Source organism: Homo sapiens, chromosome 15 (genome assembly GCF_000001405.40).
Source record: "Homo sapiens chromosome 15, GRCh38.p14 Primary Assembly".
In the NCBI taxonomy this organism is placed as follows: Eukaryota; Metazoa; Chordata; class Mammalia; order Primates; family Hominidae; genus Homo; species Homo sapiens.
The window spans coordinates 72,729,735-72,741,765 of NC_000015.10; the positions used below are offsets into that span (position 1 = coordinate 72,729,735).

At 41.9% G+C, this 12,031-nt stretch overlaps 1 protein-coding gene across 11 annotated transcripts in view; it reads left to right on the forward strand.

Moving 5' to 3' along the window:
• Nucleotides 1-8,739, forward strand: part of BBS4 (Bardet-Biedl syndrome 4) — a 52,267-nt gene extending 43,528 nt beyond the window's left edge. For all 11 annotated transcript variants that reach the window (NR_045566.2, NR_045565.2, XM_047432911.1 and 8 more), the window contains 6 exons: nucleotides 1,571-1,723; nucleotides 1,821-1,992; nucleotides 5,379-5,448; nucleotides 6,091-6,232; nucleotides 7,028-7,229; nucleotides 7,744-8,739. Coding sequence is in view for 9 of the 11 variants with exons in the window: in XM_047432911.1 (XP_047288867.1) it covers nucleotides 1,571-1,723; nucleotides 1,821-1,992; nucleotides 5,379-5,448; nucleotides 6,091-6,232; nucleotides 7,028-7,229; nucleotides 7,744-7,853 (849 nt within the window). In the remaining 2 variants the exon portion in view is untranslated. The remainder of the gene's footprint in view (nucleotides 1-1,570; nucleotides 1,724-1,820; nucleotides 1,993-5,378; nucleotides 5,449-6,090; nucleotides 6,233-7,027; nucleotides 7,230-7,743) is intronic.

The following is a 12,031-nucleotide window of genomic DNA, read 5'->3' on the forward strand; positions in this document are numbered from 1 at the left end:
CCTAGAGGTGATCTGACCCTGGAAAGCAAAGGAATAGCTTCTTAAATTTGGATACCTGAGAAATAGAAAAAATATAAATAAAAGGTGGCTCTTCTTATTTGAAAATAGTGTCAAGTATGCTCTACTTATCTTCTAAAAGTGCACATTTGTTATAATAGACGTGTAACCCCTGCAGAAGGCAGATCATAGTGCTAGTAAAGCTTATGTGTTACTTAGGAAATTAGCAATGCCTCCACAACTATTGTCAAAAATAAATCTGCGGCCCGGCGCGGTGGCTCACGCCTGTAATCCCAGCACTTTGGGAGGCTGAGGTGGGCAGATCACGAGGTCAGGAGATCGAGACCATCCTGGCTAACACAGTGAAACCCCGTCTCTACTAAAAATACAAAAAAATTAGCCGGGCGTGGTGGCGGGCGCCTGTAGTCCCAGCTCCTCGGGAGGCTGAGGCAGGAGAATGGCGTGAACCCGGGAGGCAGAGCTTGCAGTGAGCTGAGATCACGCGCCACTGCACTCCAGCCTGGGTGACAGAGCGAGACTCTGTCTCAAAAAAAAAAAAAATAAAAAATAAAAAAAATAAATCTGCTGGGCATGGTGGCTTATGCCTGTAATCCCAGCACTTTGGAATGCTGAGGCAGGAGGATCACTTGAGGCCAGGAGTTCAAGACCAGGCTGGGCCACATAGTGAGACCCCCATTTCTACAAAAAAAATTATCCAGGCATGGTGGCACACACCTGTAGTCCTAGCCACTCGGAAGGTGGAAGAGGGAAGATCACTTGAGCCCAGGAGTTTGAGTCTACAGTGGGCTATGATGGCACCACTATACTCCAGCCTGGGTGACAGAGACCCTGTCTCTAAAAAGAAACAATAATTATGTTGAAATGACTTCTAGAGTCCTAATGATTTGATACTACAACTTTTTTTCTAGATGTGACTTTGGGAATGAGAAGGAATAGCATCAAATGGATGAACATCATTGAGGAGATGCAGCAAGACAAGCTGTTTATTAAAGGATACAAACTGAATTCTGATTTAGGAAGTAACATTAGACTGTCAGCTCCCACCTTGATACCTTTCCTTAGAGAAATGAAAGGGCTGGGCTGATGAAGCCTAAAGCTGACTCGCCCTCTGTTCTACGGTAGAAAGAAATTTACCTTAAGTAGCCACGTACAGGTGTATTTCAGGTATCTAGAACACTTGGTATACCAAATAGGGGCTGCAGAGAACAGATTAAAGGAAGTTTTTACTTAAAGGGCTCTGGTATTCATTCTGAAATACTGACTTTCCTGGCTAGAAGTAGGAAACAGATGGGTAAAGCAAGTAACATTTTATCTTTTTTTTTTTTTTTTTTTTTTTTTTTTTTTGTGCTGTGCCAGAGAGCCACAGTGTAGAGTGCAAGGACATTCCTCAGGAACATTTGTCCCAATAGGTTGGATATATTTATGTCCCTGGAAGAAATTTTCCAGTCCCATCTATGCTGATGGGCCTGCTGAGTATAGACTCAGGAAAGCTGCCCCACTGCTACAGCCTTTTGGGAATGACTGAATGACTTTCTCTGTGCCATGTTTTCAGGCCATCTTGGCAGCAGGCAGCATGATGCAGACCCACGGGGACTTTGATGTTGCCCTCACCAAATACAGAGTTGTGGCTTGTGCTGTTCCAGAAAGTCCTCCACTCTGGAATAACATTGGAATGTGTTTCTTTGGCAAGAAGAAATATGTGGCGGTGAGTGTCCCCTCATGTTCTTTGTTTGTATTTCTACATGTGGTTATTGGGTCTGTTTAGCTTGCCCTTCTCATTGAGTGCCCCTTCTCTCTCATAGGCCATCAGCTGCCTGAAACGAGCCAACTACTTGGCACCCTTTGATTGGAAGATTCTGTATAATTTGGGCCTTGTCCATTTGACCATGCAGCAGTATGCATCAGCTTTTCATTTTCTCAGTGCGGCCATCAACTTCCAGCCAAAGATGGGGGAGCTCTACATGCTCTTGGCAGGTAAGAAACATTTATGTGGAAAACTCTCTCTGCCATCTGTAATGAGGGAAAAATGGATTAGAATCATAGAAGATCAGTGGCTGTCTCATAGGAGCCATTCCCTTAGAGATCCTGTAGGAATCTGGATTACTGTCCTGGAGCTTGAAGAAATAGAAAAAGATGACAAAGGAACTTGGTTGTTTCTAACTTGGGGGAGTTTGACTCAGAGACCAACAGGTTAAATAAAGATCATCCCTAGTTCACCTTTTACCAGTTTTTTCCTCTTGCCTTGACAATTCATTTATGTATATATTGAGTCCAACTAAGTTCCAGACAGCAAGTGTTAAGAGCTTGGGTTTTAGGTAGGGTCCTGCCTCTACTACTTATTATATGTACCTAGGGCTGATGTGAGGATTGCATGATTAAGCTCTCAATTAATAATACTGGTTTTGTTGAAATACTGATTTTTGAAAACTGTTGGTTTTACTGTGGTTATATAATTGGTCTATTATTATCAATATTGTTGTTACTATAATTGGCCCCTAGGTGATACTTCCAAGTCAAGCTACCTTATGTTGAAACCCTTATCTCTTCTGAGCATGTTATATAGAATGCCATTCTCTTCCTGAAACTCCATTTTATGCCATGCAAATACTAAAATTGATCATAAAAATAAGTTAAAATTAATCAAACACTTTAACAATTATGCACAACCATTTTAAAGTACTGACTAGTCTTTCTAGGAATTTTTTTCTCCATATACATTTACTTACTAAATGTAAGACCCAAAGCAGATTTCCATGTCCTCATTTGGCAGTCGTCTTCCAGTGGCTTTTTGTTCATTACTGTGGGTTCTTATTTAAAAGAGAAAGCTTGCAAAAGCAATTGTGGTTATTTGAGGGTTGCCTGAATACAAAGATAACTTTAAAAAAAAAACATAGGTTTTATTATTATTCAGATATGGTATGGGCAACAGATCAGAAGACATCTGCCACTGGAAAGATAGTCTGTTACAATTCCTGAGAAGGAGGGCATGCTACACCGTGCAGGGCCACATGGGGAAGCACCAGGTCAATCAGGAGGTAGAGGGAGCAAGGGGTAAATGTGGGCACAATTCTTTATTGTAGTTTTCATGGGTAGAAATGCCCTCCCCGGGGCAAGACCGGGAAAGCAGGTTAACCAGGTTGGGGATTGGCCAGTTTGAATAATTTCAGTGGGCTCTGGGCTATAGGGCTGTCTCTAGGTGTCTGGTACCTGACCCTCGGGTGACTAGGACTAGGGAATATTGGCCCAGTGTCAGGGCCCAGTAAAGGAGGCAGTTAAGAATATGAACACTGGGTTGGTCGGTCTGCATACAGAAGGTACTCTTGTAGGGGTTATATCTAGGAATTAGCTGACTGTGGGAGGGACAGTCTCCCCAGGGTCAGTAAGGCCCCAGATGTCAAAACATCAGAATAAAAAGGCTAAAGTGGGGTGTGATGGTACATACCTGTAGTGCTGGCTACTTGGGAGGCTAAGGCAGGAAGTTTGCTTAAGCCCAGGAGTTGGGAGTACAGCCTGGGCAACACAGTGAGACTCCATTCCTCTCTCTTTTTTTAAAAATTTTATTTTAGGTTCAGGGGTACATGTGCATCCTGTTACACAGGCACGTGTGTCATGGGGATTAGTTGTACAGATTATTTCATCACCCAGGTACTAAGCCTAGTACCCAATAGTTATTTTTTTCTGGCCCTCCCCCTCCTCCAGTAAGCTCCAGTGTCTGTTTCCCTCTGTGTCTCCATGTGTTCTCATCATTTAGCTCTTATAGTGAGAACATGCAGGATTTGGTTTTCTATCCTTTATTAATTTGCTAAGGATGGTGGCCTCCAGCTCCATCTATGTTGCTGCAAAGGACACGATCTTGTTCTTTTGTATGGCTGTGTCGTATTCCATGGTGTACATTTACATTTTGTTTATCCAGTCTACCATTGATGGGCATTTAGGTTGATTTCACATCTTTGCTATTGTGAATAGTGCTGCATTGAACACACACATGCATGTGTCTTTATGGCAGAACGATTTACATTCCTTTGGGCATATACCCAGTAATGGGATTGCTGGGTCGAAGGGTAGTTGTATTTTTAGCTCTTTGGGGAATTGCCAGATTGCTTTCCACAATGGTTGAACTAATTTACACTCCCATCAACAGTGTATAAGCATTCCCTTTTCTCTGCAGCCTCACCAGGATGTTATATTTTGAGTTTTTAATAATAGCCATTTTGACTGGTGTGAGATGGTTATCTCACTGTGGTTTCAATTTGCATTTCTCTAATCAGTGATAGAGTTTTTCATATGCTTGTTGGCTGCATACATGACTTCTTTTGAAGTGTCTGTTTATGTCCTTTGCCCATTTTAATGGGATTGTATTCTTCTTGTAAATTTGCTTAAGTTCCTTATAGATCCTGGATATTAGACCTGCATGGTTTGCAAATATTTTCTCCCATTTTGTACATTGTCTGTTTACTGTGTTGATAGTTTCTTTAGATAGCTGGGTTCTAATGGAACACAGAAATGTAAACAGCCATAATGTAAGAGATAACAGCGATGCTAACTTTACAAAGTAGAGATGGCATTCAAACTGGATCCTGAACAACAAGCTAAAATGGAATAGCACAGAATGGCTGAGGAGCCACTGTGAAGAAAGGCATGCAGCCATGAAACTGCAGTGTCCCTTGCTGTTAGTGGGGGTTAGTGTTAGAGAATATGATGGGAGATGAATCAGGAAAGATATTCTGGGGTCAGATTATGGAGGTCATGCGTACAGTGCAAGGACTTTATCTTAGAGGCCATGTTTGTCCAGCTGTCTTCCTAGATCTCCTCTTAGGTGCCTGGTAGGAGTGAGTGCATAGCTGGTGGGGAGGTGGAATGGGCAGGGCTTCCAGAGCAGCTGTTTTTGTTTTATATATTAGGTGTCAAGGAAATACTGATTTTAAAAAGTGGGGGGAGTGTTTTACTGCTAAATGAAAGTGTAAAGATCATGGTTATAGATGTGGGGGGCCAGTGAGGATTCCTAAGTAGGATGGTAATGTGGTCAGATTTGTAAGGCAGTGAGATACCTGGCAGCGCTGTGGAAGGTGGAATGGAGGCAGGTGGGGACTTTGACACTGGGGAATAAATGGAAAGCCTAAAACTACTTGGGCCTGAACAAGGGCAGTGTCAGAAAAGAAACTGCAAAAAAAGGATGCATAGAACCTGGCAACTGATTGACTGTAGAAGAGATGGTTGAAGATAGCACCAGGTATCTAAGCTGACTTAGTAAACTCTGGTGCCATGAGCTGACAGGGTGAAGTTTACTTTGGGGGTAGTCTTTAATACTCCTTTTGTCTTCTAAGCTGAGCTCTCCAGCTGCAGTGCTTTCTTTGTTGCAGTGGCTCTGACCAATCTGGAAGATATAGAAAATGCCAAGAGAGCCTACGCAGAAGCAGTCCACCTGGATAAGTATGCACTTTGTTGAGAATGGTACTGGCGGGGGTTGGACTCTCCAAAGCCATGAGGTGGTGCCATACATAGCATTGGTGCTGCCTGTGTCAGCCCAGCTGTTCCTCTATGGCATTAGTACATAGCAGACCTCAGTGTGGAGGGATGTGTCTCCTAAGTATGTGGTGGCTCAGCAGGAATTGACACTCTGAGAAAATGTTTCCAGTCCTAAACTGAGTAATCAGGAGGCTAGAGAATGTCAGAACTGGCAGTGGGCTTGGGTTGCTGATAGCTATGGGCTAGCTGGAATATCAGATGGGACTCTGGGCTGTTTAATTCAAGATAAAACTTGACTCTTCCAGGATTTACTCCGCTGGCATCTTCTAGACAGCAGGGTAGAGATCCCTTTTTCAACCCTGGCCTAGGTAGTCTCTGTTGAGGGCTGAGATGCCAGATTTGGTCCCAATACCAGCTTTGCTTGTTAGGCCATTAACTCCTTGATTCTTCTCCACAGGTCTGCTTAGCACGTATGTACCTACCTTGCTGCATAATGGAGAAATCTCTACTTAACCAGTTTTGTTTTGTTTTTGTGTAATGAGAAGGATCTCTAAATGACCATTTGTTGCAGAGCCCCCAGCTCCATAGAATCTCTGTCTGCCACAGGTGTAACCCTTTAGTAAACCTGAACTATGCTGTGCTGCTGTACAACCAGGGCGAGAAGAAGAACGCCCTGGCCCAATATCAGGAGATGGAGAAGAAAGTCAGCCTACTCAAGGACAATAGCTCTCTGGAATTTGACTCTGAGGTATGTCTTTTATTAGCTCCCAAGAGTCATAAGTAAGCTCTCAGGAGACTTTTAAAAATCAAGCCCAGATCATCCAAATCCAAGGTATTACACGTTCATGGCTGTTCTGGCTTTGATGTTCCTAGCAGCATGAGTTCATCAATTAATAACAGCCTGAGAAAAACTTTCCTAGAATAATAATAAAAGGAAATTCAGGCTTACTGAGTTGTTATTGCTAATTCAACTCATCAAAGTTGAGGTCTGTGTCTGTCTGTAGCTTCCTTCTATTTCACTTTTTTTTTTTTTTTTTTTTTGAGACGGAATCTCGCTCTGTTGCCCAGGCTGGAGTGCAATGGCGCAATCTCAGTTCACTGCAACCTCCGCCTCCTGGGTTCAAGCAATTCTCCTGCCTCAGCCTTCCAAGTAGCTGGGACTACAGGCGCGTGCCACCACGCCCAGCTAATTTTTGTATTTTTAGTAGAGACGGGGTTTCACCATGTTGGCCAGGATGGTCTTGATCTCTTGACCTCGTGATCCACGTGCCCAGCCCTATTTCACTTGTTGTAGGAAATGCACTGTTTGGCCCGGTAATGCACCAGGCTTGAATTGTTGGGTTTTGAGATCCTATGTGAACCACCATGCCATCCAGTAAAGGCAATCTGTAATCTCTACTGTTTGATAAGTACTTCCTGCCTCAACTGCTAGTACGACCAGACACTATTTCAGCTAAAACCCCAGCTCGAAGACCAAAGAAGTGGGTTGGCTTGTCTCTGACAGTCACGCTTTTGATTCTTTTACTTCCTTTGTGGACACAAGATGGTGGAGATGGCTCAGAAGTTGGGAGCTGCTCTCCAGGTTGGGGAGGCACTGGTCTGGACCAAACCAGTTAAAGATCCCAAATCAAAGCACCAGACCACTTCAACCAGCAAACCTGCCAGTTTCCAGCAGCCTCTGGGCTCTAATCAAGCTCTAGGACAGGCAATGTCTTCAGCAGCTGCATACAGGACGCTCCCCTCAGGTAGGACCATACAGAGCTCCATGAAGACCTGGCAGGTACAAGCCACATGTGTCTGTCAGCAGAGATTATAGCTTTCAGTGAGGTTCTCTTCAGACTCATATGTCCAACGTAGTATTGGCCACAAGGGGAGAAAAAAAACACAGGGTGGCTAAATTGGCACTTGTTTCCTTAAGGCGAGCTATGTAGTAGGTAACAGCTACTCACAGACTTAGTTGGATGGTCTATACACTGGTCTTTCCAATTTTAGCAATATGTTATTAAGTATATCCTGTTATGCAATGTTTAATTTTTACTGCTTTATCAGAAGTTGACACGTAAATATTTTTCAGTGACTCATTGAAGGCAAACTTGACTGTTGCTTTATTTCTCAGTTATAGTCTTCCCTTATAGTTAATGGGTCAGTCCCACTGGTTCCAGAAAATATGGGGTTTCCTCTTGAACTCTAACAGCAAAAAAGAATGATTTCTTCTGAAATTGTGGAACATGAGGATTCAAGTTTTTATTTTGTTACTAGGTGCTGGAGGAACATCCCAGTTCACAAAGCCCCCATCTCTTCCTCTGGAGCCAGAGCCTGCGGTGGAATCAAGTCCAACTGAAACATCAGAACAAATAAGAGAGAAATAAGAATAGAATGAATGACCCCAAAATAGGGTTTTCTTGGGCGAGGATGTGCTGGATTAGGAAAGGTGACATGACACAGGCAGAGCAGAGTGGCACCCACCACAGAATACAGTGTGTGTTATTACGAGGAGCCAGCAGTTGAGCCTAAGGTCCTTCTACCTACCTGGTATTGGCATTTGAGGTCGGAAACCCTCTACTGCCCCATAAGCCAGGAAAAGTGAAAAGAGAACACAGTTCCTTTAAGAACTGGCAGCAAGGCTTGAGGCCTTATGTATGTAGCTGAGTCAGCAAGGTACATGATGCTGTCTGCTTTCAAAAGGACTTTTCTCTCCTAGCTGACTGACTCCTTCCTTAGTTCAAGGAACAGCTGAGACAGACCTCTGCTGAGTAGCTCTGTGATGACAAAGCCTTGGTTTAACTGAGGTGATCCTCAGGTTGTGAGGTTTATTAGTCCCCAAGGCAAACACAAATATTAGATTAATAATCCAACTTTAATAGTATACATTTAAAAGAAAAAAAACAAAAGCCCTGGAAGTTGAGGCCAAGCCTGCTGAGTATTGCAGCTGCATTTGCCCAAAGGGAATCCAGAACAAGTCCCTCCCTGTATTTTGTTCTTGAGAGGGGTCAGTCTAGAAGCTAGATCCTATCAGGATGAGGAGCAGCAGCCCAGGGCTTGTCTGGATCAGCACCAACGATTTTAAAGAAAAAAGGAAGAGTTTCTTAGATGAGTAATTGTTATTGAAGATAGTCAGTGATAACCACTGACCAGATGCTATCAATACACTATGTGTCCTTTTTAGAATAAAGATTACATATCATCATTCCTTTGGGGAAAATTGTTATTCAGGTATAAAAACAAGAGATCATAATAAAAACCTAAAAGAACCTATGATCACGGTCTTCCCTTACCTGTGTCTAAGCCTATTTTGAAATTGGAGGAGGAACCTCAAGGCCAAGTTCCTGCTTGGTACAGGCATGGCCTCTGCAGCAACCCTGATGCATGATAAGCCAGCAATTTGCTTACTGAGGGCCAGTCCCCATTTTGCACTGAAAGTGCCCTTTAATCACCATAATTTAAAGATAGATAGATTAGATAGATGATAGATAGAAAACTGACCTACTACCAAACCGGTTGGAGTTCCTTATTTTATTACAGGGTCTGTTTTGACATTGAAGAAGCAGCTAACTGAGCAGGACCCCCTTCATTTCTTGTATCTCAAAAAGTATCAGAAGTGATGCCTTTGTCATTCAGCTGGTGGTATGTGGCAAACGTGGATTTGTACCCTGAACAATTGAGAACACTTCTACTTCAGCATGGAGTCTAGTATATTAGAATGAAATGGTCTAGTTACTTTCTGAAACTGGAAAAGTCTTAGTGAAAAAAGAGGAAGAGAGATTTAGGAGCTAATATCAACAGGAATTGGGGATTGATTGGATGTGGCAGGTTAATAATTGGGTACCCATTTCAGGGCTTAGATAACCAGGGAGAGTAAAGGAATATTGGACTAGGGTTGAGGGTTGGTTGTGGAATCTAGTTTTAGATGTTTAAGATATCTAATGATGATATCCATCAGATACCTGAATAGCTAGATTTCAGGAATGAAACCTGGTTTGAAGATAAAGATTCAGGAGTAGGCCAGATACGGTGGCTCACACGTGTAATCCCAGCACTTTGGGAGGCCAAAGCCAGAGGATCACTTGAACCCAGGAGTTGGAGACTGGCCTGGGCAAGATGGCTCAGACCTCATGTCTACAAAAAATTAAAAAGCCAGGCGCAGTTGTGCGCACCTATAGTTTCAGCTATTTGGGAGACTGAGGCAAGAGGATCACTTGAGCCTAGGAATTTGAGGTGGCAGTAAGCTATGATCATGCCACTGCACTCCAGCCTGGGAAACAAAGCAAGACCCCATCTCAAAAAAAAATTTTTTAAGATTCAGGAGTAATTTAGATTTGAGGAATCATCAAAACCATAGTTTTGAAAGGAGTCATCCACGGAAAGCTAGGAATAAGACGACAGGCAACCAAATGAAAGAAAATAAGTATTTAGAGGGAGAAGCAGAAGAGCCCACAAAAAAGCATATGATACAAGAAAAAACCCAGGAGAGTGGTATTATGGGAAGCCAACGAAGAAAGGTTTGGGAAGAGAATGGTCAGCCTCATTGAACACTTCCAACAGAGAGGTACTGTTATCCCCATTTTATAGAAGAGAAAGCTTAGGTTAGGAGAGACAAAACAAATTTTCAAAGGTAAGTGGCAGGACCAGGATTTTAATCCAGGTCTGGATGCAGAGCTCTTGCTCTTAACCATCAATCATCAAGCAGTGATGTATCTTTGATGAAGCAGTGGTGGCAACAGAAACTTAAGGACTTGAAGACTGAATGAGTAGATATTGGACTACTTTTATTTCAGAAAGCTTTGATGTAGAGGGAAGAGGTTTTCAGAGGACAGAACTGTATTCATTACTCTGATATGAGAAACTTCTAATATTTGGGGAGAGAAGGGTAAAAAGGTAGTCTTTTTTAAGTATAGCATGGTGGAAACAGAGAATGCAAGAGTAGAGTTTTTGAGTTTTTCCACATTTGGGGGCAAGATGGTGCTTTGCTTCCAGGGATAGCAGTAAAGAAGCAATGCTTTCCACATTAATTTGACTTAGATTTTCTTTTAAAAATAAACTCTACTAGGGTGTGCAGGGTCAGTCTTTTGGGCATGTGAATTTGCAATTTTTCTTTTACTCTGGTGAGATAGGAGCTATTCTAACTTCTAGTATGGGGGTTGGTTGCTCATGTCATCAGAATTTGTAACAGAATTAGGAAAATGAAACCAAGAACATAATCACAGCTACGGATGTGGTTTTAGAAAACTGAAAGAGAGAGGCAGGAAAGTAGAAGTATGAACTAGCAATGAGAAAAAAGTATCCTTCTTGCTGAATAATATTGGGCAAAACTGTGCATTCCAAAGACAGTAAACCACTTTGGAGTGTGTCACTACAATGATTTTTGTTTTCAAGGAAAACTCATTATTGTCTGATAATGGCTTAGTAGTTCATGTCGGACCAATCCTTCCATAAATAACAAATGTAAACAAGTGGTAAATATAAAATACTCTCTCGGTTTAACTTTAAAAAAATACATATGATTGTTCAAAGAAAAAATATCACAGTGTATGTGAGGCTGAACATACATAAATAACATGACAACTATAAAGCATATATGGTTGCAAGGTTTTAATATTTTATGTAGTGGGACACAAAATTAATCCTAAATAGTTTGTGAAAAGCTGAACATGGTCCTAGCCAGAGCAATCAGACAAGAGAAAGAAAGGGCATCCAGATCAGTAAAGAAGAAGTAAAACTGTCGCTGTTTGCTGATGACATGATCGTATACCTAGAAAACCTTAAAGACTCATCCAAAAAGCTCCTAGAACTGGTAAATCAATTCAGCAAAGTTTCAGGATACAAAAGTAAAGTAAAGTACATAAATCAGTAGCCCTGCTATATGCCAACAGCAACCAAGCTGAGAAATCAAGAACCCAACCCCTTTTACAATAGCTGCAAAAAAACAAAAAACAAACAAAAAAACAACTTAGGAATATACTGAACCAAGGAAGTAAAAGACCTCTACAAGGAAAACTACAAAACATCACTGAAAGAAATCATAGATGACGCAAACAAATGGAAATACATCCCATGCTCATGTATGGGTAGAATCGATATTGTGAAAATGACCATACTGCCAAAAGCAATCTAGAGGTTCAGTGCAATTCCCATCAAAATACCAAAATCATTCTTCACAGAATTAGAAAAAACAATCCTAAAATTCATATGAAACCAAAAAAGGGCCCGCATAGCCAAAGCAAGACTAAGTAAAAAGAACAAATCTGCAAAGCCAAAGTGAGACTAAGTAAAAAGAACAAATCTGGAGGCATCACATTATCTGACTTCGAACTATACTACAAGGCCATAGTCACCAGAAGAGTGTGGTACTGGTATAAAATCAGGCATATAGACCAATGGAACAGAATAGAGAACCCATAAATAAAACCAAATACTTACAGTCAACTGATCTTCGGCAAGCAAACAAAAAAGTGGGGAAAGGACACCCTATTCAACAGATGGTGCTGGGTTAATTGGCAAGCCACAAATAGAAGAATGAAACTGGATCCTCATCTCTCATCTTATACAA